This window comes from Homo sapiens, chromosome 11 (genome assembly GCF_000001405.40).
Source record: "Homo sapiens chromosome 11, GRCh38.p14 Primary Assembly".
Classification (NCBI taxonomy): domain Eukaryota; kingdom Metazoa; phylum Chordata; class Mammalia; order Primates; family Hominidae; genus Homo; species Homo sapiens.
In genome coordinates, this window is record NC_000011.10 from 65932529 (window position 1) to 65960050 (window position 27522).

General features: G+C 50.2%; 1 protein-coding gene and 1 long non-coding RNA gene across 10 annotated transcripts, besides 3 other annotated features; one reads left to right on the forward strand and one right to left on the reverse strand.

Moving 5' to 3' along the window:
• Nucleotides 4709-5233: an enhancer, noted in NCBI's record as "NANOG hESC enhancer chr11:65704708-65705232 (GRCh37/hg19 assembly coordinates)". NCBI's record gives its function as "activates a minimal SCP1, AML or CMV promoter by ChIP-STARR-seq in naive H9 embryonic stem cells {active_cell/tissue: H9 hESC(naive)}" and the evidence as "EXISTENCE:reporter gene assay evidence [ECO:0000049][PMID:30033119]".
• LOC105369350 (uncharacterized) lies at nt 5264-12996 on the reverse strand. Its single transcript, XR_950212.3, has 3 exons — nt 12909-12996; nt 5780-5951; nt 5264-5568 (listed from the first exon to the last, which is right to left on the reverse strand). It is a non-coding gene; the product is annotated as an uncharacterized LOC105369350 (long non-coding RNA).
• Nucleotides 8490-8989: an enhancer, noted in NCBI's record as "H3K4me1 hESC enhancer chr11:65708489-65708988 (GRCh37/hg19 assembly coordinates)". NCBI's record gives its function as "activates a minimal SCP1, AML or CMV promoter by ChIP-STARR-seq in primed H9 embryonic stem cells {active_cell/tissue: H9 hESC(primed)}" and the evidence as "EXISTENCE:reporter gene assay evidence [ECO:0000049][PMID:30033119]".
• Nucleotides 8960-9183: a silencer, noted in NCBI's record as "fragment chr11:65708959-65709182 (GRCh37/hg19 assembly coordinates)". NCBI's record gives its function as "represses an EF-1alpha promoter that drives an FKBP-Casp9 reporter gene in an ReSE screen in K562 erythroleukemia cells {active_cell/tissue: K562}" and the evidence as "EXISTENCE:reporter gene assay evidence [ECO:0000049][PMID:32094911]".
• On the forward strand, nt 12952-27438 carry TSGA10IP (testis specific 10 interacting protein). 9 transcript variants are annotated; one of them, NM_001395491.1, is made up of 8 exons: nt 12952-13294; nt 14352-14488; nt 14582-15300; nt 15473-15620; nt 21039-21209; nt 26355-26454; nt 26623-26786; nt 27289-27438. In NM_001395491.1, the coding sequence occupies exons 1-8, from the start codon at nt 13148-13150 to the stop codon at nt 27410-27412; spliced, it is 1710 nt and encodes a 569-aa protein (NP_001382420.1). In that variant the 5' UTR covers nt 12952-13147; the 3' UTR covers nt 27413-27438. The 9 variants fall into 9 exon arrangements, 7 of the variants coding, with proteins under 7 accessions (NP_001382420.1, NP_689975.2, NP_001382421.1 ...); NM_152762.3 differs by having other exon boundaries at nt 26662-26786; XM_047426706.1 differs by having other exon boundaries at nt 13251-13338; nt 26662-26786.
• Nucleotides 27439-27522: the final 84 nt, after the last annotated feature.

Here is a 27522-nt window from a genome sequence, read left to right on the forward strand (position 1 = left end):
GGTTTCTGCTTTCTTTAAAATTTTGCAGTTTGGCCAGGAGCAAGCACTTCACTTTGGCATTTCATATCCATTCCATTCTAGAGCCTCAGTCAAATATTCTTGCACGCTGTTCATCCTTAGGACAAACCCAGAATCCTTTCCCTGGCTCCCAGGCCCCACGTGATCTGACTCTTGAGCACCCCCCCATGGAGGTTTATTTATTTATTTTTTTGAGGCGGAGTCTCACTCTGTCGCCCAGGCTGGAATACAATGACGCGATCTCAGCTTGCTGCAACCTCTGCCTCCCGGGTTCAAGTGATTCTTGAGCCTCAGCCTTCCGAGTAGCTGGGACTACAGGTGTGTGCCACCATACTTGGCTAATTGTTTTGTATTTTTTTAGTAGAGACGGGGTTTCACCATGTTGGCCAGGCTGATCTCAAACCTCTGACCTCAAGCGATCTGCCCAACTCGGCATCCTAAAGTGCTAGGATTACAGGTGTGAGCCACCGTGCCCAGCCCCCCATGGAGGTTTAAAATATCAAAATACCAACCTGGGCACAGTGGCACACACCTGTAGTCCCAGCTACTCAATAGGATCGTTCTAGCCCAGGAATTTGAGTCCAGTCTGAGCAACATAGCAAAACCCCATTTCCAAATAACATAAAATATCAAAATACCAAAAAACATTACAAATAATTGTATGTTGGTAAATATAGAAACTTAAGCAAAGTAAATACCTTTCTGGAAGAATGTGAAATGTCAAAATTGGCACAAAAATATCAAAACTTCAGTAGACCCATAACCAGGAAAGAAAATTGAGTAGCTCATGCCTGTGACCTCAGCACTTTGTTTTATTTTGTTTTTGAGATGGAGTCTCACTCTTATTGCCCAGGCTGGAGTGTGGTGGCGCAATCTCGGCTCACTGCAACCCCTGCCTCCCATTTTCAAGCGATTCTCCTGCCTCAGCCTTCCGAGTAGCTGGGATTAAAGGCGCCAGCCACCACGCCCAGCTAATTTTTTTGTATTTTTAGTAGAGACAGAGTTTCACCACGTTGGCCAGGCTGGTCTCGAACTCCTGACCTCAGGTGATCCACCTGGCTAAGCCTTCCGAAGTGCTGGGATTACAGGTGTGAGCCACTGCACCCGTCCTAACCTCAGCACTTTGGGAGGCTAAGGCAGAAGGATCATTTGAGGCGAGGAATATAAAATCAGCCTGGGAAACATAGCGAGACCCTGTCTCTTGGGAAAACAACAACAACAACAACACTACAATAGGCCGGGCACAGTGGCTCACGCCTATAATCTTAGTACTTTGGGAGGCTAAGGCAGGCAGATCACCTGAGGTTGGGAGTTCGAGACCAGCCTGGCCAACATGGTGAAACTCTGTCTCTACTAAAAATACAAAAATTACCCGGATGTGGTGGCACATGCCTGTAATCCCAGCTACTTGGGAGGCTGAGGCACGAGAATCACTTGAACCTGGGAGGTGGAGGTTGCAGTGAGCCGAGATCACTCTACTGCACTCCAGCCTGGGCGACAGAGCAAGACTCCATCTCAAAAAAAAAAAAAAAAAAAAAACTAAAAGAAAAAGAAACTTGTAATCTGAGACTCCAATGTGAAAAAACCCAATAGAAATGTTTTTATAGGGCAGTTCTACCAGCCTTTGGAGGAACAGATGGTCCTTATCTCACACCAGTTGTTACAGAAGCCAGAAAGAGAGAAGGCTGCCCAATTTCTTGTATGACCCCCGCAAGCCAGATAAAGACAGTATCAGAAAAGTCTGTACACAGAGCATTTCGTTATGGACACAGATGTTAAGCGTAAACTAATAGAATAGAATATAGGAAAATACCCCACCTAGGGATAGGAAAAGAAAGACTCTCAAAATACAAAGCTCTATTCAAAAACATTTATGAGTCTAACTCCATCAAAATTAAAGATTTTTTTTTTACCAGACTTAAAAAAAGATTAAGGATTTCTGGCCAGGCACGGTGGCTCACACCTGTAATCCCAGCACTTTGGGAGGCCAAGGTGGGTGAATCACTTGAGGTCAGGAGTTCGAGGGCAGCCTGGCCAACATGGTGAAACCCCATCTTTACAAAAATTAGCCAGTCGTGGTGGCACATACCTGTAATCCCAGCTACTCGGGAGGCTGAGGCAGGATAATTGTTTTGAACGTGGGTGGTGGAGGTTGCAGTGAGCTGAGATTGCACAACTGCACTCCAGTCTGGGTAACAGAGCGAGAGAGCGAGAATCCGTCTCGAAAAAAAAAAAAAAGTACCAGACCTCATTTTATGACCCCAGGGTTAGTCAAAATTCATAAGGTGAATAATGTCAATGTTTGGTGAGAATGTGGGCAGACAGAAATCCTTGGTCTTCTGTAGGCACATAAACTGACAGCCCTTCTCTCAAGCAATCTGAAATTAGGTGTATGTTTATGCCAAGACCTTACACTCTCAGCCTTGGATAAGTAGGCCAGAGAGATTCTCATTCAGGTGTACAAAGAGGCATGTGCAGCGGTGTTGACCACGGTGTTCTTTGTGAGAACAGGACTTGGGAGCCAGTCTGGCATCCATTGTCAGAAGGATGAATTAAGTAAAGCATACAAAGGGAAACTACGGAACACTATGCAACAGTCAGGATCTACAAGGCTTTTAAAACACAGTGCGGGCCAGGCACAGTGGCTCACGCCTGTATTCCCAGCACTTTGGGAGGCCGAGACGGGCGGATCACCTGAGGTCAGCAGTTCAAGACCAGCCTGGCCAACATGGTGAAACCTGGTCTCTACTAAAAAATAAATACAAAAATTAGCTGGGTATGGTAACGCAAGTCTGTAATCCCAGCTACTTGGGAGGCTGAGGCAGGAGAATTGCTTGAGCCCGGGAGGTGGAGGTTGCAGCGAGCTAAGATTGCACCACTGCACTCCAGCCTGGGCAACAAAGCGAGACTCTGTCTCAAAAAAAAAAAAAATCAAAAAACAAAAAACAAAAACAAAAACCACAGTGTTAGCAGCGGAGGGTGGCATGTGCCCATAATCCCAGATACTTGGGATGCTGAGGCGGGAGGATCTCTTGACCCCAGGAGTTTGAGGCCAGCCTGGGCAATATGAGACCTTGTCTCTAAAAACAAAACGATGGGGCATGGTGATTCATGCCTATAATTCCAGCTTTTTTTTTTTTTTTTTGAGAAGGAGTCTCGCTCTGTTGCCCAGGCTGGAGTGCAGTGGCATGATCTTGGCTCACTACAAGCTCTGCCTCCCGGGTTCACGCCATTCTCTGGCCTGAGCCTCCCGAGTAGCTGGGACTACAGGCGCCCGCCACCATGCCCGGCTAATTTTTTGTATTTTTAGTAGAGACGGGGTTTCACCATGTTAGCTAAGATGGTCTCAATCTCCTGACCTCGTGATCCTCCCTCTTCGGCCTCCCAAAGTGCTGGGATTACAGGCGTGAGCCACCGCGCCCAGCCTAATTCCAGCTTTTATTTATTTATTTATTTATTTCTGAGATGGAGTCTTGTTCTGTCACCCAGGCTGGAGTGCAGTAGTGTGATCTCAGCTAGCTGCAACCTCTGCCTGGGTTCAAGTGATTCTCCTGCTTCAGCCTCCTGAGTTAGCTGGGACTACAGGTGTGTGCCACCATGCCCGACTAATTTTTGTATTTTTAGTAGAGACGGGATTTCACAGTGATGGCCAGGCTTGTCTTGAACTCCTGACCTCAAGTAATCCACCTGCCTCGGCCTCCCAAAGTGCTGGGATTACATGCATAAGCCACCTTGCCCAGCCTGATTCTAGCATTTTGAGTAGGCTTAAGCGGGAGGAGTCCTTGAGGCCAGGAGTTCAAGATTAGCCTAGGCAGCATAGTGAGACCTCTGTCTCTCCAAAACTAATTTTTTTTTAAAGTAGCCAGGCATGGTGGCACATGCCTGTAGTCCAAGCTACTCAGGACGTTGTGGTTGTGGTAGAGGATCACCTGAGCCCAGGAGTTCGAGGCTGCAGTGAGCTATAATCACACCACTGCACTCCAGCCTGGGTGACAGAGTGAGGCCTTATCTCTAGAAAATAAAATAAATTTTAAAAACCCTAAAGCACAGTTTTGAAGGAAACGAGTAAGGAACAAAAATGAGATCAATACTGCTTATGCAAATTAAATACATACAATACCATTTATTTATTTTTATACTTAGTTTTATTTTTTATGTTTTTCTTGAGACAGGGTTTCACTCTGTCACCCAGACTGGAGTGCAGTGGTGTGATCATAGCTCATTGCAGCCTCAACCTCCTGGGCGCAGGTGATCCTCCCGCCTCAGCCTCCCGAGTAGCTGGAACTACAGGGACACGCCACCATGCCCAGCTAATTTCTTTGTATATTTTTGTGGAGCTGGGGTTTCACCATGTTTCTCAGGCTGGTCTCCAACTCCTGAACTCCAGCAATCCACCTACCTTGACCTCCCAAAGTGCTGGGATTACAGGCGTGAGCCACTGCACCCGGACCACAATACCACTTACATAAACAAAAAATACATACACACAAAAATGATAAAAGCTTCACAATGATCCGTTAACATCTTTCTTTCTTTCTTTTTCTTTCTTTCTTTCTTTCTCTCTCTCTTTCTTTCTTTCTCTCTTTATTTATTTATTTTTTTCAGAGTCTTGCTCTGTTGCCCAGGCTACAATGCAGTGGCATGTTCTCAGCTCACTGCAACATCTGCCTCCCATGTTCAAGCAATTCTCCTGCCTCAACCTCCTGAGTAGCTGGGATTACAGGCACGTGCCACCACGCCTGGCTAATTTTTGTATTTTTAGTAGAGATGGGGTTTCACCATGTTGGCCAGGCTGGTTTCGAACACCTGACCTCAAGTGATCCACCTGCCTCGGCCACCCAAAGTGCTGGGATTACAGGCATGAGTCACCACGCCCAGCCTATTCACATTTAAATAGGATGGAGCGGGGATCAAAGATGAAGAAGAAAATACAAAGGCAAAACAAGAGTCGCATTGCATCCATTGATGCTTTTTGTATGCTGTGAAATAAGGAATACAATAAACTCAGCTATCTGCTCCCCAGGACTAATGCAGAAGAGAAATGTGCAAAGGACATGGACAGGAATTCACAGAGGTAGCACAAATGGTCCATGGAGATAGGAAAATACTTGAACCTCACAAATAATGAAGGTGTGGAGACAAAAATGACCCCATCTTAGACGTGAATCCGCCATGCTGACTTCTGAATAGCTGCAGTCCCGTGAATACCTCCTGATTCCTACTCTATTTACTGCCCTTAGCATAAGACTATGTCCACCTTGATGTTATCACACCAATTATAGGCTATAACGTATGCAGATTCTTGCCTGTTCTGGAGGGCTGCCTTTAATTGTCTTGCACAGAACACTCATACCCTTTCCCTATGGTACATAAGCCTTGGCTCTAGGATGACAGGCACGGAGATCTGTTTGTCTCGTGGCTGCCCAAGACCAAGCTTGTCTGTAAGGTCACCCAAATAAATCACCCTGTACCAGCAAACTGGATTTGTCTGCCTTGTTCTTTGGTTTCTCTGCTCCTTCAGCATTCGGGAGCTGCCTTGCATATCTGGCCCTTTCATGAAAGAGAAGAGAATACAAGTTATTGCAACAATGCAATAATAGCTTTTCATCTATCAGATTAGCAAAGTGAAAATTATAATTGCTGGTGAGGGTATAAATACTGTTGATGGAAATCTATAATGATTGAGCCTTTAGGGGGAATAATTAGGCACCATCAAGATCTAAATGGCTTAGAGCTAGCTAGTTTGCTTATAGAACATTACCTTGCAGAAATCTCAAGACACATTTCCAGGGATGTCCGCAGCTGCAGTGTCTGGAGTGAGGACGCAAGCGGAAGCAGTCCCGGTGTTTGACAAAAGGACACAGGTGATGTACATTAGGTGGGTCAGACAGCCAAACAGTGATGATGGTAAAGACTGGGTGGCTCTGTATGTCCTGACATGGAAAGAATATAACATTCTAGTAGGCAAAACCAGGATGATCTCATTTTTGTTGAAAAATATGTATATGTAGGTTTGTATACACACACACACACACACACACACACACACACACACACACGTCTATCTCTAAAATCACAAGATATTCAAATGGTACACTGGCTCAGGTCTTGGTTTTGCATCGGAGGCCAAGGACAAAGCAATAGCCCCAGGGCCCTGCATTGCTAATCAGGTGCCAGGCCCCCTTGCAGTGAGGACAGGACACTCCTGACCTCAAGTGATCCACCCACCTCAGCCTCCCAAAGTGCTGGGATTACAGGCGTGAGCCACCGCGCCCGGCCCAGACTAGACATTTCAATTTCAATTTCTGAGGCTGTTCTTAGTGATCAGAGGACTTTTCACTACCTGAGGTGACTTGAGAAGTCATAGTGCCTGCTCACGTCTTATCCAGGCCTGGGAACGGCTTGGCCCAAGGGGGAGTGGGTGGGTGGAAAAGGATGCAGCTGTCTCTGTCCGAATGCTGCACCCCGCCTTGCTCAGGGTGTCAGTTCCACATTTGTTTGTGCTCACAGGGGAAAAACACGGGCCAAATACACACCCAAAAGTTAACAGCAGTTCTACTGCACAGATTTAATTTTTTTTTAGACAGAGTTTTACTCTTGTTGCCCAGGCTGGAGTGCAGTGGTACGATCTCGGCTCACTGCAACCTCTGCCTCCCTGATTCAAGCGATTCTCCTGCCTGAGCCTCCCAAAGTAGCTGGGATTACAGGCGCCTGCCACCACACCCTGGTAATTTTTTTGTATTTTTAGCTGAGACGGGGTTTCATCATGTTGACCAGGCTGGTCTCGAACTCCTGACCTCAGGTGATCCACCTGCCTCAGCCTCCCAAAGTGCTGGGATTACAGCTGTGAGCCACTGCACCTGGTCATATTTAAATTTTTGACAGTGTGCATATATTACTTCTATTATCTGAAGAACCAATAAAGATGTTTTCTATCTGTACATGTATTTATTATTTTATTGTATTGTATTTCATTTTATTTTATTTTATTTTATTTTATTTTTTGAGACAGTCTCATTCTGTTGCCCAGGCTGGAGTGCAGTGGTGTGATCTTGGCTCACTGCAGCCTCCACCCCCTGGGTTCAAGCAATTCTCCCATCTCAGCCTCCCGAGTAGCTGGGACTACAGGCATGCACCTCCATGCCCGGCTAATTTTTTTGTATTTTAAGTAGAGACAGGGTTTATCCATGTTGCTTGGGCTGGTCTCAAACTCCGGTGCTCAAGCCATCCTCCTGCCTCAGACTCTCAAAGTGCTGGGATTACAGGCGTGAGCCACTACTCCAGGCTCCCATTGCAGGTTTTAAGCAGAAGTCTTTAAAAAATGGCCCAAGCTGGCCGGGCTCGGTGGCTTACGCCTGTAATCCCAGCACTTTGGGAGGCAGAGGCGGGTGGATCATGAGGTCAGGAGATCGAGACCATCCTGGCTAACACAGTGAAACCCCGCCTCTACTAAAAATACAAAAAATTAGCCGGGCATGGTGGCGGGCGCCTGTAGTCCCAGCTACTCGGGAGGCTGAGGCAGGAGAATGGCGTCAACCCAGGAGGCGGAGCTTGCAGTGAGCCGAGATTGCGCCACTGCACTCCAGCCTGGACGACAGAACAAGAGACTCCATCTCAAAAAAAAAAAAAATGGCCCAGGCTGCTGGGTTGGGAATTGACCATGAAGAAGCAGAAAGTCTATGTAGAAGACAACGGATGTTGAGAATGCTCCAAATAGCTGGTGGTAAGCGTTCAGATTCTGAATGCACTTTGAAATCAGGAACAACTGTTGGATAGGACATAGCATTTCAGAGAGAGAAAAGCCTAGGCTTTTGGTTCGAGAAACTAGAAGGATAGCATAGTCACTAGGCCAAGATGGAGAGGGCTGTGGGGAGGGTCAGGGAGTCAGTTTCAGAGTTGTTGAATGTGAGATGCCTGTTAGACACCTAGATGGAGCAGTGGACTGGGTCATTCGAGTTTGGGAGGCAGGACTCACCTTCTGAGCTTGAGGGAGATGTCTGGACTACAGATAAAAGTGGGGTTCATTGTCTGATAGATTTTATTTAAAATGAGCCTGTCATGCCTGTAATCCCAGCACTTTGGGAGTCTGAAGCAGGAAGATCTCTTGAGCCCAGGGGTTCAAGACCAGCCTGTGCAACATGGCTAGACGTTGTCTCTACAAAAAATACAAAAAATCAGCTGGGCATGGTGGTGCACACCTTTAGTTCCAGCTGCTCAGGAGGCTGAGGCGGGAGTGTCACTTGAGCCCAGGAGGTCGAGGCTGCAGTGAGCCATGATCACGCAACTGCACTCCAGTCAGTCTAGGTGACAGAGTGAGACCTTGTCTCAAAAAAAAAAAAAAACAACCAAAAACCCAAAAACACAAAACCATGGTCCTGGTGAGTCCAGTAAAAGAGGAGCTGTGGCCGGGCGTGGTGGCTCATGCCTGTAATCTCAGCACTTTGGAGGCCGAGGCGGGCGGATCACGAGGTTAGGAGTTCGAGACCAGCCTGGCCAACATAGCGAAACCCCGTCTCTACTAAAAATACAAAAATTAGCCAGGCATGGTGGTTTGCGCCTGTAGTCCCAGCTACTTCGGAGGTTGAGGCAGGAGAATCACTTGAACCTGGGAGGCGGAAGTTGTGGTGAGTCAAGATCTCACCACTGCACTCCAGCCTGGGCAACAGAGTAGCTGTGGACAAAGAAGACAGACGGGGCAGCTGTCCCTCTCCTGCAAGAGGAGGAGGAACTGGCAGAGGAGCTGGGGAAGAGCTGGCCACTGACCTCATGTTAGTGGGAGGGAAGGCATCGGTGATTTTGGCAGGTGCAGGCTCACAGGGTGGTGGGGGTGACAGCCTGCCTGGAGTGGGTTCAAGAAAGAAAGGCAAGGGGGAAATTGACCTTGCCCAGTGAAAACTCTTTCAGAAGGCTTTGCTGCAAAGGGAACACAGAAATGGGGCAGTGTTGAAGAAGGGGAAGTGAGTCAAGAAAGAAGGAACAGTAGTGCTGATGGAAATGATGCCAGAGAGATGAGACATTGCTGATGCAGGAGAGAGTGGGAGGACGGCCGGAGCCACATCGCTGAGCAGGCAATCAGCAAATGAATGAATGTGTGTGAAGCGGTGATAAGAGAAGCAGAGCAAATGGTGGTGCCTATTAGGGACTTAGGGGATCTGGGCAGGGAGGGCTTCTTTGGCAGGTGTCATTTTAGCAGAAACCTAGAGGTCCTGAAGGAGTAAGCCATGTGGATTCTGGGGAGAGAGCATTTCAGGAAGAAGAAACAGTCGGTGCAAAGGGCCTTAGGGCAGACTGGCTGGCGTACCGAAGGGAGAGTGTGGTTGGATCGGAGTGAGAAGGGATCATGGTGGCACTTGTGAGCAAACACCTGTGAAACATGCAGGACCTAGTGGGCCAGTAAGGACTTTGCCTTTTACTCAGCGAGACCCAGGACCCATCACAGGCGTGATGGACTCTGTTTTTTTTTTTTTGTTTTTTTTTTTTAGTTAAGGTCTTGCTCTGTTACCCAGGCTGGAGTGCAGTGGTGCAATCAGGGCTCATTCTGCCTCCTGGGCTCAAGTGGTCCTCCTACCTTAACTTCTCTAGTAGCTGAGATCACAGGCATACTCCACCACACCTGGCTAATTTTAGTATTATTTTTTGTAGAGAAGGGGTTTGCCATGTTGCTCAGGCTGGCCTCGAACTCCTGGCCTCAAGCCATCCGCCTGCCTCAGCCTCCTAAAGTGCTGGGATTACAGGTGTGAGCCACTGCGTCCAGCTGGGCTCTATTCTTCACAGAATCACACTGGTTGCTGAGTAGAGAATGGTATCAGGACAAAAGCAAAAACCGGGAGGTTGGGTGTGGTGGCTCACGCCCATAATCCCAGCACTTTGGGAGGCTGAGGCAGGTGGATGGCTTGAGGCCAGGAGTTCGAGGCCAGCCTGGGAAATATAGTGAGCTCCCATGTCAATAAAAAATAAATAAATAAGCAAAAGCCGGAGATTAAGCGTTACTGAAATGATCCAGAAGAGAGAGGGTGTTGGTTTGGAGAAGTGCTGGATTCTGCATGTATTTCAAAGGTGGAGCTGGTAGGGTTTGCTAAGGCATTAGGGGCAGAATGTGAGTCAAACGAAAGAGTCAAGGATCATGCCAGGGCGTTGACCTGAGCAACAGGAATCTCAGACATGCCCCTGACTGGGATGAGGCAGGCCAGTAGTCTGACCTTCAGCATGTCAAGTTGAAATGCTTATTTATCCAAGTGGGGATGTCAGATGGGCCACTGGATATTTAAGTATGGGAGAGGTCAGGCTGAGATACGTAAACCTGGGGACGGGTGGAAAACAGCAGGTGCTGGCCTGGCGCAGTGGCTCATGCCTGTAATCCCAATGCTTTGGGAGGCCGAGGCAGGCCAGGAGTTCAAGACCAGCCTGGACAACATGGCAAAACCCCATCTCTACCAAAAAATATAAAAATTAGCCGGGCATAGTGGCGCGTACCTGTAGTCCCAGCTACTCGGGTGGCTGAGGTGGGAGGATCACTTGAGCCTGGGAGGTTGAGGCTGCAGTGAGCTGTAATGGCACTACTGCACTCCAGCCGGGGTGACAGAGTGAGACTCTGTCTCAGAAAGCAAGCAGCAGGTGGCTTTTAAGGCCATCAGACTGGATGAGCTCACTTAGGGAGGGAGTGTGGTAAAGGAAAGAGGTCTGTATGCACCTCATGAGAATATCAACCTGAGAAACCCAGACCTGCCCTCTGCCAAGGAAGAAAGTGGCCCAGAGTTCTGGACTGTCCAGGAAATCACCTGGGGTTGAGGTCTGGAAGGGGCTCCGTTTCTGAAAGTGAAGCTGCCTACATGTGCCTTCCACTGGGCCCCAGGTGTGGGAGAAGGATGGCAGCCCCCTAGAAAGAAAAGAGTTTGCATATTTTGGGTGGCAAAAGAGCTTCACCCGGAGCAGCACTATTTAGGATATTTACATTGGATGTGCTCATTGTGAGGTGCCACTGGGATGGAGTCTGAGAGCAGAAGAGGAGCCACAGGGCCACAGTCTGAGAAAAATCCTGCCTCTATGGCATCTTCCAGGATAGTCTGCTTCCCTGGGGCCACATCATTGATTAATTAATAACAGCAACACGGCCCGGTGCAGTGGCTCACACCTGTAATCCCAGCACTTTGGGAGGCCAAGGTGGGTGGATCACTTGAGGTCAGGAGTTCAAGACCAGCCTGGCCAACATGGTGAAACCCTCTCTCTACTAAAAATACAAAAAATTAGCCGGGCATGGTGGCACATGCCTGTAATCCTAGTTACCCGGGAGGCTGAGGTGGGAGAATCGCTTGAACCCAGGAGGCAGAGGTTGCAGTGAGCCGAGATCACATCACTGCACTCCAGCCTGGGCAACAGAGCAAGACTCCATCACAAAAAGAAAAAAAAAAGATAATAAGAATAACAGCAATGCTAACATAGCAGTTCCCATGAGCCATGAGGATGTTCTGTTTGTATCTGCATAGTGATTTAATCCTTACCACTACCCTGGGAGTAGATCCGATTATAACCATCCCCTCCCCATTGCCTATGAGAAAACAGGCACCGAGAGGGTACGGGACAAGTGGAGGAGCTGGGATTTGCACCCAAGCGCTTCCTCTATGCTCTTAGCCATGATGCTCTGCTGCCTCAAAAGAACGGCCAGCTAGTGTTAGTAATAATAACATTTACCGATGTCATCGTTTGGGGTTTCATGTAGTCCTTGCAACAAACCTATGAGCTGGGCCCGTGATTCCAGTTTTGCAGAGTGGGGAGTTGGTCACAGAGCTAGTGAGACCAGGCCTCCAGCCCAGTTGGTCCGTCTCCAGGGCCTCAGCTCAGCACCACATCCCTGTACTGCAAGCCTCAGTGGTCAGCACCAGGCGTCCCATGGGGACTTAAGATTCCAAGGCTTTTGAGCACTGCTAGAAGTTTGGGGTAAGATCTTTTACTTTTTTTATATTAAAAAAATATATTTTTTTGAGATGGAGTCTCACTCTTTCGCCCAGGCTGGAGTACACTGGTGTGGCCTCGGCTCACTGCAACCTCCACCTCCCGGGTTCAAGAGAACCCGGAGAGGGAGAGCCTCAGCCTCCCGAGTAGCTGGGATTACAGGTGCCCACCACCATGCCCGGCTAATTTTTGTATTTTTAGTAGAGATAGAGTTTCAATCCAGGTGGGAGATGGGGTTTCACCATGTTGGCCAGGCTGGTCTCCAACTCCTGACCTCAGGCAATCCGCCCACCTCGGCCTCCCAAAGTGCTGGAATTACAGCCACTGCCCGGCCTGGGGTAAGCTTTCAATGTTGTAACTCCCTCCAGAACCTCATGGCCTATGAAGATGGCCAGGTGGGCCTGGGCCCAGGCTCTGAATGGCCTGCTGCCTCTCTCCTGGACACAGCATTCAACTTCCTGGCTGGGGCTGGGAGTGCAAAGATTTGTTTATTTGTTTCTTTTTTATTGAGACAGAGTCTCACTCTGTCGCCCTGGCTGGAGTGCAGTGGTGCAATCTGGGGTCGATGCAGCCTCTGCCTCCCGGGTTCAAGTGATTCTCGTGCCTCAGCCTGAGTAGCTGGGATTACAGGCATGCGCCACCAGGCCTGGCTAATCTTTTTTGCATTTTTGGTAGAGATGGGGTTTTGCCATTTTGGCCAGGCTGGTCTTGAACTCTTGACCTCCAGTGATCCACCTGCCTCAGCCCCCCAAAGTGCTGGGATTACAGGTGTGAGCCACCACTCCCAGCCTGGGAGTGCAAGGATTTAAATAAAATCTTGTGAAAGTTCAGTTTGGCTCCTTCAGGGACTCGGCCAGGCCGGGGGGCAGCACAGGAGACAGGCTGACTCCCCTGTACAGATGGATGGGGAAACACAGGCAGAGTAGGGACAGGGGACTTACACCAGGTCACACGGGGAGCCTGTGGATGAGGCAGAGGCAGGACTTGGGCCTGGGTCTCTGCGCTAAATGACTCCTGGGCATCCTGCTGAACTCTCTCCCAGAAGGAGATTGGCCTCACATACCCCACTGACCCCTTCCTAGCATGCTTTTTGCCAGACCCATTGAGACTGGCTGAGGACTGGTTGCCATAGAGATGGCCTGTTAGGCAGTTCTACGGTGCGGATGGGGGATGGGGCAGGATGGGGCAGGACACCGATATGCTAAATACCTACCAACAGTTGGTTAGGACCCCGTCGGTGCGACCAGGGCAGGACGTGCGGCTCCAGGCTCCAGGAACCAGAACGGGGCTGCTCAAGCTGCTGTCGACCGTCTCTCAGGACAAGCAGGTGAGGGAGGCCCAGTGAGGACACTTCCAGCTGCCTAGAGCCAGGTGGGTCAGGGAGGCCTGGGCTGGGGAGGCCCTTGAGAAGCCACAAGACCTGAGCTGAGGTCCAGATGAAACTCAGGGAGGCAGGAGTGGGACAGGGACCACAGGGAGGCCTAAGGGCCTTGGGAGAAGCCGAGGGATGACGCCCAGGAGTGACTCCCAGGGATGATGGGGCCATTCAGGGAACACTGCGGAAGGAGCAGGTTTCAGGAAAGATGAAGACCACCTTGATGAAGACCACCTTGGTTTCTGCCTTGGCTGTAGCAGGTCCAGGGCCCAGTGGGACATTTGGGAGTGCAGTCCAGGGCCCAGAGGTGGCCTAGCGCAATGGTGACAAATCTGGGCTCCACCACTTCCCAGCTGTGTGACCTCAGTTACTCAGCCTCTCTGAGCCTCAGCTTTCTCCTCCACATGATGGAGGTGATAGTGAGTACCGGCCTCCTAGGGTCCTTGGGAAGGTTACGTGTGTTTATGCATGAAAGTCCTGAGCACACAATAGGTGCTCAGCAGGTGGCAGCTGTTGCTATTTTAATATGCAGAACGGAGGTGGTGCTCGGTCGGGTTTTTTTGTTTGTTTGTTTTTTTGAGATGGAGTTTCACTCTTGTTGCCCAGGCTGGAGTGCAATGACACAATCTCGGCTCACTGCAGCCTCCAACTCCTAGGTTCAAGCGATTGTCCTGCCTCAGCCTCCCAAGTAGCTAGGATTACAGGCGCAGGCCACCACACTCGGCTAATTTTTTTTGTATTTTTAGTACAGATGGGGTTTCGCCATGTTGGCCAGGCTGGTCTCGAACTCCTGGCCTCAGGTGATCCGCCCCCCTTGGCCTCCCAAAGTGCTGGGGTTACAGGTGTGAGCACCACATCCAGCCCTGTTTGGTTGGTTTTTATGGTAACGAGGGCCCAGAGGGACCCAGCCAGGCCCAGCCAGGTGCACAGAGGGAGCACCCGGGTGAGGTGCAACACAGTCCAGGAGGCTGCTCAAGCTGGCTGCTCCTCCCCTACTGTCTCTGCCCAGGGCTGCCTGGGGAGTGGTGATGGTGTGCCAAATCAAGACCTGCAGCAGAGGTCTCAGAGCTCAAGGCAGACAGCAAAGAAGGACCGCAAGCCCAGGGGCCAGAGCAAGAAAGGACAGGGCTCTGAAGAGTCTGAAGAGTAAGCAGCAGTGGGATGGGTCAGGAGGCTGTTGGGGGTCAGGGCCCTCTGGGGGCTGGCGCCGACCCTGACCCCCACCCTTTCCTTCTTCAGTCACTTCCCGCTTCTTCCTCGGAAACCCTCCTTCCCCTTCCAGTGGGCCTGGGAGAGCATCGCCACAGATGTCCGGGCTGTGCTTCAGCCAAGCTCCCCAACCCCTGGCCACCAAGCCCTGCCCATGCCCTCCTCGTTCTCCCAGCGTCAGTCCAGGCGCAAGTCCACGGCCAACCTCCCAGAGGCCCATGGCTGCTGCTGGAAGACAGAGGCGCAAAACCTGAAGGCGAGACAGCAGCTGGGAGCCTGGGGCGGTGTCTCCATCCCTACTGGCAAAGGGGAGCTAGGATCAGAGCCCCCCAGTGGTCTCCAGCTGCCTGGGAGGAGGCCAGGATCAGGATCGGCGTCCGACAAGCAGGTCCAGCTGCAAAGCCTGGGTGCTGAGGAGGCCGAGAGGGGTCTGAGTTCTGGGGTGCTGCCCCAGCGCCCCAGGAGGGGGTCGATCTCAGAGGAGGAGCAATTTTCAGAGGCCACAGAGGAGGCTGAGGAGGGAGAGCACAGGACTCCCTGCAGAAGGAGGGCTGGTTGTCAGAGAAAGGGGCAGATTTCTGGAGAGGAAGCCTCCGATGAGGGAGAAGTGCAGGGCCAGAGCCAGGGGAGCAGCCCCAGCTTCAACAACCTCCGAAGGCGACAATGGAGGAAGACAAGGGCCAAGGAGCTGCAGGGGCCATGGGACCTGGAGAAGCTGCACAGGCAGCTACAGAGAGACCTGGACTGTGGTGAGCGTGGGGCTCAGAGCCTGGATTCCCCCGAAGCTACACCGCAGGGAACAGGGAGCAGTCAGGGAGGCAGGGGCTCAGGCAGGCTGGGCTGTGCTCTGGGTGCTGGGGGGCGTTGCCTGGTGGGCTGAGAGGGAGAGGGCAGCCCCTGACTTGGTCCCACTGTGGGCAGGCCCCCAAAAGCTGCCCTGGAAGACTTTGAGGGCTGCCTTCCAGGCCTCCAAGCGGAATGGAAAGGCCTATGCCTCGGGATACGATGAAACTTTCGTGTCTGCCAACCTCCCTAATCGCACCTTCCACAAACGACAGGAAGCCACCAGGTAAGAGGGAAGAGAAGGGAGTGGGAGCCCAGAATGAGAAGTAGAGATGGAGCCACTTCTCCAAGAGATGCTTAGGCATTTGAACTCTCATTCATTTCTTTATTTATCCATTCACCAAACTTTTGGATCATCCATCCATCCATCCATCCATCCATCCATCCATCCATCCACCCATCCATCCATCTATCCAACTACTGATAACATCCACTCAACCATTCATCCATCTCTCTCAATACCTGGCCAATTATCTATTGATACAACCACTTTTATTTCCCATCTTTTGTTCCATCCATCCATTAAATTATTAACTAAGTGATTAATGCAACGTTTATTATCTACTCATGGGCCCTTAGGATATAACTATTAAAAGACTTGGAATTAGCTGGGCATGGTGACACGTGCTTGTAGTCCCAGCTACTCAGGAGGCTGAGGTAGGAGGATCTCTTGAGTTCAGGAGATCAAGACTGCAGTGAGCTATGATCCCACCATTGCATTCAGCATGGGCAACAGAGTGAGACACTGTCTCTAAAAAAGAAGTTAAGGGGCCGGGCGTGGTGGCTCACGCCTATAATCCTAGCACTTTGGGAGGCCAAGGCGTGTGGATTGTCTGAGCTCAAGAGTTCGAGACCAGCCTGGGCAACATGGCGAAACCCTGTCTCTACTGAAAATATAAAAAATTATCCAAGTATGGTGGTGTGTGCCTGGAGTCCCAGCTACTCAGGAGGCTGAGACATGAGAATCACTTGAACCTGGGAGGCGGAGGTTGCAGTGAGCTGAGATTGCAGCACTGCACTCCAGCCTGGGTGACAGAGTGAGACTCTGTCTCAAACGAACAAACAAACGAACAAAAAACCCAGCCTGGTCAACATAGCTAGACCCCTGTCTCTACAAAGGAAAAAAAAAAGATTAGCCTGGCTTGGTGGAAAGTGTCTGTAGCCCCAGCTACTCCAGAGGCTGAGTCAGGAGGATCTCTTGAGCCCAGGAGATCAAGGCTGCAGTGAGCCATGATGACATCACTGAATTTTAGTCTGGACAACAGAGCGAGCCTCTGTTTCTAAAGCAAAGGAGACAGTGGGAGCTGAAGGGGAGACTGGAGGCTGTGAGGAGACTGTTGGCAACACTGAGGTGAGGAACCAAGAGGCCCTGTGGATGGAGGGAGGGGATCCATTTAAGAGACACTTAGAGGCTGGTTCAATAGGCCATGGTGACTGGTGACAGGAGGCATGTGAGGGCAGGGGAGAGTTCATTCAGCATTCTTATAGCACCCCACAATTTTTTTTTTTTTTGAGATGGAGTCTCACTCTGTTGCCCAGGCTGGAGTGCAGTGGCACAGTCTTGGCTCACTGCAACCTCCGACTCCCAGGTTCAAGTGATTCTCCTGCCTCAGCCTCCCAAGTAGCTGGGACTACAGGAGCCCACCACCACGCCTGGCTAATTTTTGTATTTTTAGTACAGACGGGGTTTTACTATGTTGGCCAGGCTGGTCTTGAACTCCTGACCTCGTGATCTGCCCGCCTCGGCCTCCCAAAGTGCTGGGATTATAGGCATGAGCCACTGCGCCCAGCCACAATTCTTTTTTTAAAATTTATTTTATGTAATTGATAAATAAAAATTGTATTTATGGTGTACAACATGAGGTTTTGAAATATGTTTATATTGTTGAAGGTCTAAATCAAACTAATTAACATATGCATTACCTCGGTTTTTTTTTTTTTTTTTTTTTGAGACAGAGTCTTGCTCTGTTCCCAGGCTGGAGTGCTGTGGTGTGATCTCAGTTCACTGCAACCTCCGTCTCCAGGGTTCAAGCAATTCTCATGCCTCAGCATCCCAAATGGCTGGGATTACCGGTGCCTGCCACCACACCTGGCTAATTTTTGTATTTTTAATAGAGATGGGGTTTCACCATATTGGCCAGGCTGGTTTCGAACTCCAGACCTCATGATCTGCCCGCCTCAGCCTCCCAAAGTGCGGGGATCACAGGCGTGAGCCACCACTCCCGGTCTTACTTGATTTTTTTTTTTGTAGTGAGAACACTTAAAATCTACTCTTTTATTGATTTTTAAGTATACAATACATTGCTTTTAACTACAGACACCAGATCATACAATAGATCTCTTGAACTTATTTCTCCTCTCTAACTGAAATTTCTTATCCTTTGACCAACATCTCCCTTCTTCTCCCCACAAACCCAGTGAGGACTTGGTAACCACCATTCTACTCTCTGCTTCTATGAGTTTGACTTTATTTATTTATTTATTTATTTAGAGACAGGGTCTTGCTGTGTTGCCCAGGCTGCAGTGCAGTGGCACAATCATGGCTCACTGCATCCTTGACTTCCAGGGCTCAAGTGATCCTCCCACTTCAGCCTCCTGAGCTCTAGGACTGCAGTCATGAGCCACCATGCCTGGCTAATTTTTTTTTTTTTTTCTGAGATGGAGTCTTGTCTCACTGTTGCCCAGGCTGGAGTGCAGTGGCGCGATCTCAGCTCACTGCAAGCTCCGCCTCCCGGGTTCACGCCATTCTCCTGCCTCAGCCTCCTGAGTAGCTGGGACTACAGGCACCCGCCACCACACCCAGCTAAGTTTTTGTATTTTTAGTAGAGATGGGGTTTCACTGTGTTAGCCAGGATGGTCTCGCTATCCTGACCTCGTGATCCACCCGCCTCAGCCTCCCAAGGTGCTGGGATTACAGGCGTGAGCCACCACACCTGGCTGCTGGCTAATTTTTAAAATTTTGGTAGAGATGGGGTCCCATTATGCTGAGTTTGACTTTTTTAAGATTTGGCACATAAGGGAGATTATATGGTATTTGTTTTCCTGTGCCTGGCTTATTTCACTTAACATAGTGTCCTCCAGGTTTATGCATGTTGTTGCAAATGATGGGATTTTCTTCTTTTTAAGGCTGAAGAATGCCATTGTGTATATATACCACCTTTTCTTTATCCATTCTTCTGTTGATGGAATCTTAGGTTGATCTCATATCTTTGCTACTGTGAATATTCCTGCAATGAACATAGGAGTACAGCTACCTCTTCAACATACTAATTTCATTTCCTTTGAATATGTACCCAGAAGTGGGTTGCTGGATCACATAGTAGTTCTACTTGTAATTTTTTGGGGAACCTTGATATTGTTTTCTATAATGACTGTACTAATTTATATTCCCACCAACAGTAAACAGAGATTCCCTTTTCTCCACATCATCACCAACCCTTATCTTTCATCATTTTGGTAATAGTCATTCTAACAGGCGTGAGGTGATATCTTATTATCATTTTATTTTGCATTTCCCAGATGATTAGTGATTAGTGATGAAAAAGACATTTGTATGTCTTTTTTTGAGAAATGTCTATTTGGGTTATTTGCTTATTTTATTATTATTATTATTATTATTATTATTATTATTTTGAGATGGAGTCTCGCTCTGTCGCCCAGGCTAGAGTGCAGTGCCACGATCATAGCTCACTGCAGCTTTGAATTCCTGGGCACAAGTGACCCTCTCACCTCAGCCTCCTGAGTAGCTGGGATTACAGGTGCATGCCACCACATCCAGCTGATTTATTTTTTAACTTTTTATTTGTAGAGATAGGTGTCTTGCTATGTGGCCCAGGCTGGTCTCAACCCCTGGCTTCAGGTGATCCTGCTGCCTCCACCTCCCAAAGTGTTGAGATTACAGGTGTGAGTCACCATGCCCTGACTCTTTGCCTTTTTTTTTTTTTTGAGATGGAGCCTCACTTCGTCACCCAGGATGGAGTGCAGTGGCATAATCTTGGCTCACTGCAACCTCCCCCTCCCAGGTTCAAGTGATTCTCTTGCCTCAGCCTCCTGAGTAGCTGGGATTACAGACGTACATCACGAGGTCTGCCTAATTTTTTTGTATTTTTTTAGTAGAGACAGGGTTTCACCATGTTGGCCAGACTAGTCTCGAACTCCAGACCTCAAATGATCTGCCCGCCTTGGCCTCCCAAAGTGCTGGGATTTCAGGCAACAGCCGTCGCGCCTGGCCTTTGCCCATTTTTTGAGTTATTTGCTTTCTTGTTACTGAGTTACTTGAGTTCACATATTTTGGATATTAACCCCTTTTCAGATGTATGGTTTGCAAATATTTTCTCCCATTCTGTATGTCATCTCTGTTGATTGTTGCCATTGCTGTGCAGAAGCTTTTCAGTTTGATGCAACTTCATTTGTCTATTTTAGCTTTTGTTGCCTGTGCTTTCTGGGTCATAGCCAAAAAACCATTGCCCAGACAAGTGTCGTTAAGCTTTCTTTTGTGTGTGTGTGTGTGTGTGGTGTGTGTGTGTGTATGTGTCTGTGTGTGTGTGGCAGAGTCTCAATCTGTCACCCAGGCTGGAATGCAGTGGCTCAATCATGGCTCACTGCAGTCTTGACTTCCTGGGCTCAGGTGATTCTCCCACCTTAACCTCCCGAGTAGCTAGGACTACAGGTCTGGTCCACCATGCCTGGCTAATTTTTTGTATGTTCAGTACAGATGGGGTTTAAGGCTGAAGAATGCCATTGTATATATAGACCACCTTTTATACACAATATATACACAATATATACCATTGTGTATATATACCATGTTGCTCAAGCTGGTCTCAAACTCCTGGGCTCAAGCGATCCACCTGCATCAGCCCCAAAGTGCTGGGGTTACAGGTGTGAGCCACCATGCCTGGCCTTTTTTTTTGGCTCAAGATTGCTTTTGCTGTTTGGAGTATTTTGTGGTTCTATATTAATTTAAAATTGTTTTTTCTATTTCTGTGAAAAATGTCATTGGAATTTTGATAGGCTTGCATTGAATCTGTAAATTGCTTTGGATAATATGGACATTTTAACAATATTAATTCTTCCAAAGCACCCTTCATTTCTTTTTTCTTTCTTTCTTTTTTTTTTTTTTTTTGAGATGGAGTTTTGCTCTTGTTGCCCAGGCTGGAGTACAATGGCGTGGTCTCGGCTCACTACAACCTCTGCTTCCCTGGTTCAAACAATTCTCCCACCTCAGCCTACTGAGTGGCTGGGATTACAGGCATATGCCACCACGCCTGGCTAATTTTGGCATTTTTAGTAGAAACAGGGTTTCACCATGATGACCAAGCTGGTCTCAAACTCCTGACCTCAGGTGATCCGCCTGCCTCCACCTCCCAAAGTGCTGGGATTACAGGCATGAACCACCGTGCCTGGCCTGGAAGCAGGAGACTTCTAGAAAGAGTAGGGAAAGGCCTTGAGCTGGGACCGAGGGCTGAGCCTCCAGGGCAGTCTCTGTCATGGACTTCCATGACAAACCCTACTCCCAGGACACTGGCTCTGGACACTGCAGCCCCTCCCCACAGGCTTCCATATTCCCTTATCCAGCCCCTGGCCCTCCGTGAGGCTCCTGCTGCCCGTGAACCTCTCATTCCCCTTCCCTTTCTCACCCAAGGAGCCTGCTGCAGGCCTGGGAGCGGCAGCGGCAGGAGGAGCGGCAGCAGGCCGAGCTGCGGCGGGCCCGGACACAGCATGTACAGCGGCAGGTGGCCCACTGCCTGGCAGCCTACGCACCCAGAGGGAGCCGGGGCCCTGGGGCGGCCCAGCGCAAGCTGGAGGAGCTGAGGTAGGGAGCCTGGGCTTCGGGAGGCCTGGTTGGGAGAGGGCAGGGAGGCCGTGTCAGGTCTCAGTCTACAGGACCGAGGAGCACCAGCCCTCGCCTTCCCTGGGGCTAACCAGGCCACTTCACCGCGTTTCCAGATAAGGACGCTGAGGCATGGGGAGAAGGGGTCTGTCGAAGGCCACCCAGTTAATAATGACAATCTCTGCAGCTGTTGAATGGTCAAGGTTAAAATATTCTACATGTATGATCACACTTTCAAATCTTCATTTTCTGATTTCCAATGCCAGACATGCTTGTTATAAAATTTCAAAGATTACAGAAATAATGCCTGGAGAAGGTGAACAGCCGTGTGACCCCACTCTGGGAGACAACCATTGTTCACAGTCAGCTGAAGAGTCGCGTTTTGTTCTCTTCCTATATTGTGACCATTTTCCTTTTTTTTTTTTTTTGAGACGGAGTCTCGCTCTGTCGCCCAGGCTGGAGTGCAGTGGCGCGATCTCGGCTCACTGCAATCTCCGCCTCCCAGCTTCACGCCATTCTCCTGCCTCAGTCTCCCGAGTAGCTGAGACTACAGGCGCCCGCCACCACGCCCGGCTAATTTTTTTTTTTTTTTGTATTTTTAGTAGAGACGGGGTTTCACCGTGTTAGCCAGGATAGTCTCGATCTCCTGACCTCGTGATCCACCCGCCTCAGCCTCCCAAAGTGCTGGGATTACAGGTGTGAGACACTGCACCTGGCCGTGACCATTTTCCTAATAAGCAGATTTGTGGGCAAACGTTTTTGGACTCCTAACAGGTCCGTGAAGCAGGGAGTATTGCTGCTGGTGGGCCAGGTCAGGTTCTTCCCTTGGCCGCACAAAAGAAAAAGTTTATTGCAAAGCAAAGGCCACCCTGACCAACATGGTGAAACCTCATCTCTACTAAAAATACAAAAAGTAGCCAGGTGCGGTGGCACATACCTGTAATCCTAGCTATTCGGGAGGCTGAGGCAGGAGAATTGCTTGAACCCGGGAGATGGAGGTTGCAGTGAGCCGAAATTGAGCCACTACACTCCAGCCTGGGCGACAGAGCAAAAACTCCATCTCAAAAAAAAAAAAAAAAGCCCACCCTGAGGACTGCTCAGAGGGAGAGACGGCAGCTTGTGCCTTAAGAGGAATTCCTTTTATGGAAGTTGTTTATACCTAGTCACAAAATACTGGTGAGGTCAGGTATGCAAAGGTGGACCTGTGGTGGGCGCATGCGCTCAGCATCTGCATGCTCCAACACGCATCACATGTAACATTAGCATATACAATCTCTACCTAGGGGTGTGTTTTTTTACCATCAAAACGAGGAAAATGTTGCTATAAGCTAAACCTTGAGCCTAGCTGTGTATGCGGAACCCCGAGAAGTCCTTAGCTCCCTCCAAGGCAGGAATTTGTAGCTAATAGCTTCTTGGGCTTTTGGTGCTGATTGGCTGGAGATCGGGGAAGCTACATTATGAATAAGGGGCTTTTGTTTTTTTTTTCCTGGGCTGTGCTAGGTATGAGGGAACTTGTAGCCATCTGGTATCCCCTAAGACTGCTTATCTTGCAAAAGAGTTAGGTACTCGGCTGTACGCCGTGGCTCACACCTGTAATCCCAACACTTTGGGAAGCCGAGGTAAGTGGATCACCTGAGGTCAGGATTTCGAGACCAGCCTGGCCAACGTAATGAAACCCCGTCTATACTAAAAAATATATATACAAAAATTAGCTGGGCGTAGTGGCGCGCGACTGTAGTCCCAGCTACTTGGGAGGCTGAGGCGGGAGAATCACTTGAACCCGGGAGGCGGAGGTTGCAGTGAGCCGAGACTGCACCATTGCACTCCAGCCTGGGTGACAGAGAAAGACTCCGTTTCAAAAAAAAAAAAAAGAGTTAGGTGCTGATGCACGAGGGCACAGGGGCTGCAGAGCTCCTGCGAAAGGAGCCCCTGGGGCTTCATACAAGGGGAAAAGTCAGTACGGCCCGCTCACCTTACTATCCTACCTTGGTATCTCCACCTGCATAACCCCACCGGTGAGGAACCTGAGGCTCAGAGATCTTCAATAATTTGTCAAAGGTCATGCATGGGCAGCAGAATTGGGTTCCAGCCACGATGCTGCCCTGCCTGAGCACTCAAATCCTCCGCTTTTAGACGAAAGGCACCAGGACCTTCCCCCAAGAGCCCAAACCAATGACACATGTAACACAAATAAATCAAATAAATATGACCAAAACCAGTGCCATTGATTTGAGCACCTCCTGGGTGCAGCGGGCGCAGGGCATCTTTTTCTGCACCCTGTCTCCTTTGGTCCGTGGCAAGTGGGGTGAGGGTCCTGCCCTGCCTTAAGGCCACTGACGGCTCAGCGGGGTTCTTATCACCTACTCTTTGAGGCTCAGTCTTTTTTTTTTTTTTTTTTTGAGACAGAGTTTCGCTCTTGTTGCCCAAGCTGGAGTGCAATGGCGCGATCTCGGCTCACCGCAACCTCTGCCTCCCGGGTTCAAGCAATTCTCCTGCCTCAGCCTTCCGAGTAGCTGGGATTACAGGCATGCGCCTCCACGCCCGGCTAATTTTGTATTTTTAGTACAGACAGGGTTTCTCCATGTTGGTCAGGCTGGTCTTGAACTCCCGACCTCAGCTGATCCGCCCGCCTCAGCCTCCCAAAGTGCTAGGATTACAGGCGTGAGCCACCGCGCCCGGCCGAGGCTCAGTCTTAATCACCCCAATTTTACAGATTTGGAAACAGAGGCTCTGAAAGGTCAAGTGTGTTTTGGGGGACTGCTTGGGCCAATGTTTAGGGGGATCCTTTCTCCTTCCCAATCTTGCTCTGTTGCCCAGGCTGGAGTGCAGTGGTGTGATCTCAGTTCACTGAAACCTCCATCTCCCGGGCTCAAGCAATTCTCCTGCCTCAGCAACCTGAGTAGCTGGGACCACAGGTGCGCGCCACCACACCTGGCTAATTTTTTTGTATTTTTGGTAGAGACAGGGTTTCACCATATTGCCCCAGCTGTCTCAGACTCCTGACCTCAAGTGATCTGGCTGCCTCGGCCTCCCAGAGTTTTGGGATTACAGGCGTGAGCCACCGCGCCCAGCCAAGTGTTTTGTTTTCACAGTGAGGCAGGAAGTGTAAGGTTCAGAACTCCAAGTGGCAGGTGCAGCAAAAAGAGTGATTCAACCTCACTCCTTTTACTTTCTATTTGAGAGGGCTAAGGCATAAGTAGGTATCTCCCATGCAGTCTCTCAGCCATTACAGCCTATGAACTTCGCTGTCTGAGCGGAACAGGAGACTCTGTCCTGCCTAGGAAGGGCAGGCACAAAAGAGGTTGTCCTGTGGGAGGGAGGGATGTGTCTCCTTCCATTCTGAGATGATGGACGGGGCTGACACCCATAGGCACCACTTCCCTTTCTGCTCAGGGCTCCTGTCATTGTTTTTTTGAGACAAAGTCTCGCTCTGTCGCCAGGCTGGAGTACAGTGGTGCAATCTCGCCTCACCATAACCTCCAACTCCCCAGTTCAGACGATTCTCCTGCCTCAGCCTCCCAAGTAGCTGGGATTACAGGCGCACGCCACCACTCCCAGCTAACTTTTGTATTTTTAGTAGAGACAGGGTTTCACCATGTTGGCCAGGATGGTCTCGATCTCCTGACCTCGAGATCTGCCCGCCTCGGCCAGCTCCTGTCACTTCTAACAGAAATAGCATAAAGTATCCAGCAGGAAAAGTGCACACAATATCACAGAAAAGATAGGGACTGCCAGCTCATTTCCCACCTCCCCTTGTAACTGCCATAAATTCCTTCCTAAATGGTGAAAGCCGTTTTTGCAGTAACTTGTGTTCCGGGCCATGGGTTTTCAAGTCCATGTCTTTTTCTCAATGAAGGATGGTTCCTTCCCTGGCACAGGGCCACAGCAAGGGTGGCATGGCCCAGCAAGGCTGAGTTTTTCCACCGGGCCCAGCACAATCGCTGAGGTCCCAGTACAGGTCTTGGGGTCTTGTCTGTGTCTCCCCTCCCCTCCTGTCCTCTTGTCTGCGTCTTCCCTCCCCTCCTGTCCATGGGTGCTGCCTCCACACCTCAAGGCCTCTCTTACATGCTTCACAGATGGATGCCTGGTCCCATGTGGGTGTGGCTCGAAGGTCCCTCTTGCTGCTAGAGTGCTCTCTTCATGAGTGGCAGTGATACTCAAGTTTGTCAAACAGACACATTTCTGACAAGTGCACAAACTGGGTTTTGGGTTTTTTGAGACAGGGTCTTGCTCTGTTGCCCAGGCTGGAGTGCAGTGGCACAATCTCAGCTCACTGTAGCCTAGACCTCCGAGGCTCAAGCGATCCTCCCACCTTGGCCTCCCAACTACCCAGGACTACAGGTGCATACCACCATGTCTGGCTAATTTTTGTAGAGACAGGATTTCACCATGTTGCCCAGTCTGGTCTCAAACTCTTGGGCTCAAGTGATCCACCCTCCTTGGCCTTCCAAAGTGCTGGGATTACAGGTGCGAGCCACCACGCCTGGCCAAATTGGGTTTTTATAAATGAAAATTGTGCTTCCCCAGTGGAACCCTGATCTCTCAGGGGTGTGTTTTTTAAATTTGAAACATATTTTTTTTTAGTTTCTCTGTCCCATTTTCCAAGCTGTCTGCTTACAAGAACCACAGAGAATGCTGGCAAGCTTGTCCGATCCCTACTATAGCACAGTGAAATAAACTGAGCCCAGAGCCAAGAGCCCAGAGAGAGGCCTCACCCAAAGTCACACAACCAACAACCACAGCTCCCCCTCAAGGGAAAGAGGATGGGGAGGGGAAGCTATGTAAGCACGTGTCTGGAAGCTCAGAAGCCAGCACTGGCCCCTTTCCCATGGGGCTGGCACAGGAGGATGGGCAAGCCCCAGCTGCACAGGGCTCGGCCCCTCACTTCCCAGCTGCACAACTTTGAACAAGTCCCTCAACCCTCCCGATCCATCCGTAAATTGGGTGAATAATTTCCACCTTGGCTGACTTCACAAGGAATCCAGGCAAGAATGGGAATGAAATAGCTTTGTAAAGGTGAGGGTGAGGACATGAATATCAAGTCCTTAGTGAAGATAAGCGGGCTCAGGAATGGAGATCAACAGTTGTGTCCATGGTTAGCTGCACAAAGGCCTGTCTCCCCTGCAGGCGCCAGGAGCGACAGCGCTTTGCTGAGTACCAGGCGGAGCTGCAAGGCATCCAGCACAGGGTGCAGGCCCGGCCCTTCCTGTTCCAGCAGGCTATGCAGGTGAGGCTGGCACCTGGGCAAGCACATAGCTGCCCCCTGTGAAGAGCTGGCTGAGTGGGTAGGGAAGCAGGATGCGAGTAGGTCCCTGCAGATAGGATCCCAGGGCTGCTGCCCTCTGGAATCCCTGGGACCCCCTCAGTAACCCGATCCCCACCTTGCCCTCGGCAGCCCTGGTGCAGAGCAGGAAGCCGTCTTCTCTCTCCTCAGGCCAATGCCCGGCTCACCGTCACTCGGCGCTTCTCCCAGGTGCTGTCAGCACTGGGGCTGGATGAGGAGCAGCTGCTGTCTGAGGCAGGAAAGGTGGACAGAGAGGGCACCCCCAGGAAACCCAGGTGAGTCTCCCCGTCAGGTCAAGAACTGACTCTGCCATGCTGCTGCGGGAAGGGGCGCCCACACCAGCACTCTGGGCTCTGGAGGGCCTCCCCCAGGACAGGCAGAGAGCCCAGAGGAAGGCAAGGCCAGGGTTGTCATTCCTACTTCTCAATGAGGAAACTAAGGACCTGAGGGGAAGGGCCTTCTTTAAGGACGCAGGAGCGAACAAGCAGCAGAACCAGTCTGGGACTCTGCAACCATCTGAGCGGCCACACACCAAGTCCCTCATTAGGGGCTGGCACCACCACGCTGGTCACCCCATGCCTTAGAATAACCTGGTACAGAGCAGCGATTATGAAGCCCACTTGACAATAAGGAAAGTGAGACTCGAGAAGAGTCACTTTGCCCAGGATCACACAGCAAGCCGGCACTGAAGCAGGGTTTGAAGCCACATTGTCAGTGGTTTCCTTGGGCATGGGGGTGGGAGCTGCAGAGTCAGGGGCCTCTATCTGTGTCTTGAAGGAGCCACAGGTCAATGGGGGTGAGAATGGAGCACTCTCCTCAGAGGCCCCCAAGGACAGAACCCACCGGCAGCCAGCCTGACAGGCACTACAACCCCAGCCTGGACCCGGAGTGCAGTCCCTGAGATAAAATTAAAGGCTTTATGGCAAACACAGTATGAGATTTCTGGTGGTGGGGGTGGTGGAAGCTACGGGTTGGAAGTTGGAGGTGGCAGGTGGGTGGGCAGCAGGCTTA

Coding starts and splice junctions, on each gene's coding strand:
- TSGA10IP (NM_001395491.1), top strand. CDS start 13,148: ATGGGGCAGGACACCGATATGCTAAATACCTACCAACAGTTGGTTAGG. Junction 13,295..14,351: donor CCGTCTCTCAGGACAAGCAG/GTGAGGGAGGCC, acceptor GTCTCTGCCCAG/GGCTGCCTGGGGAGTGGTGA. Junction 15,621..21,038: donor AAACGACAGGAAGCCACCAG/GTAAGAGGGAAG, acceptor TTCTCACCCAAG/GAGCCTGCTGCAGGCCTGGG.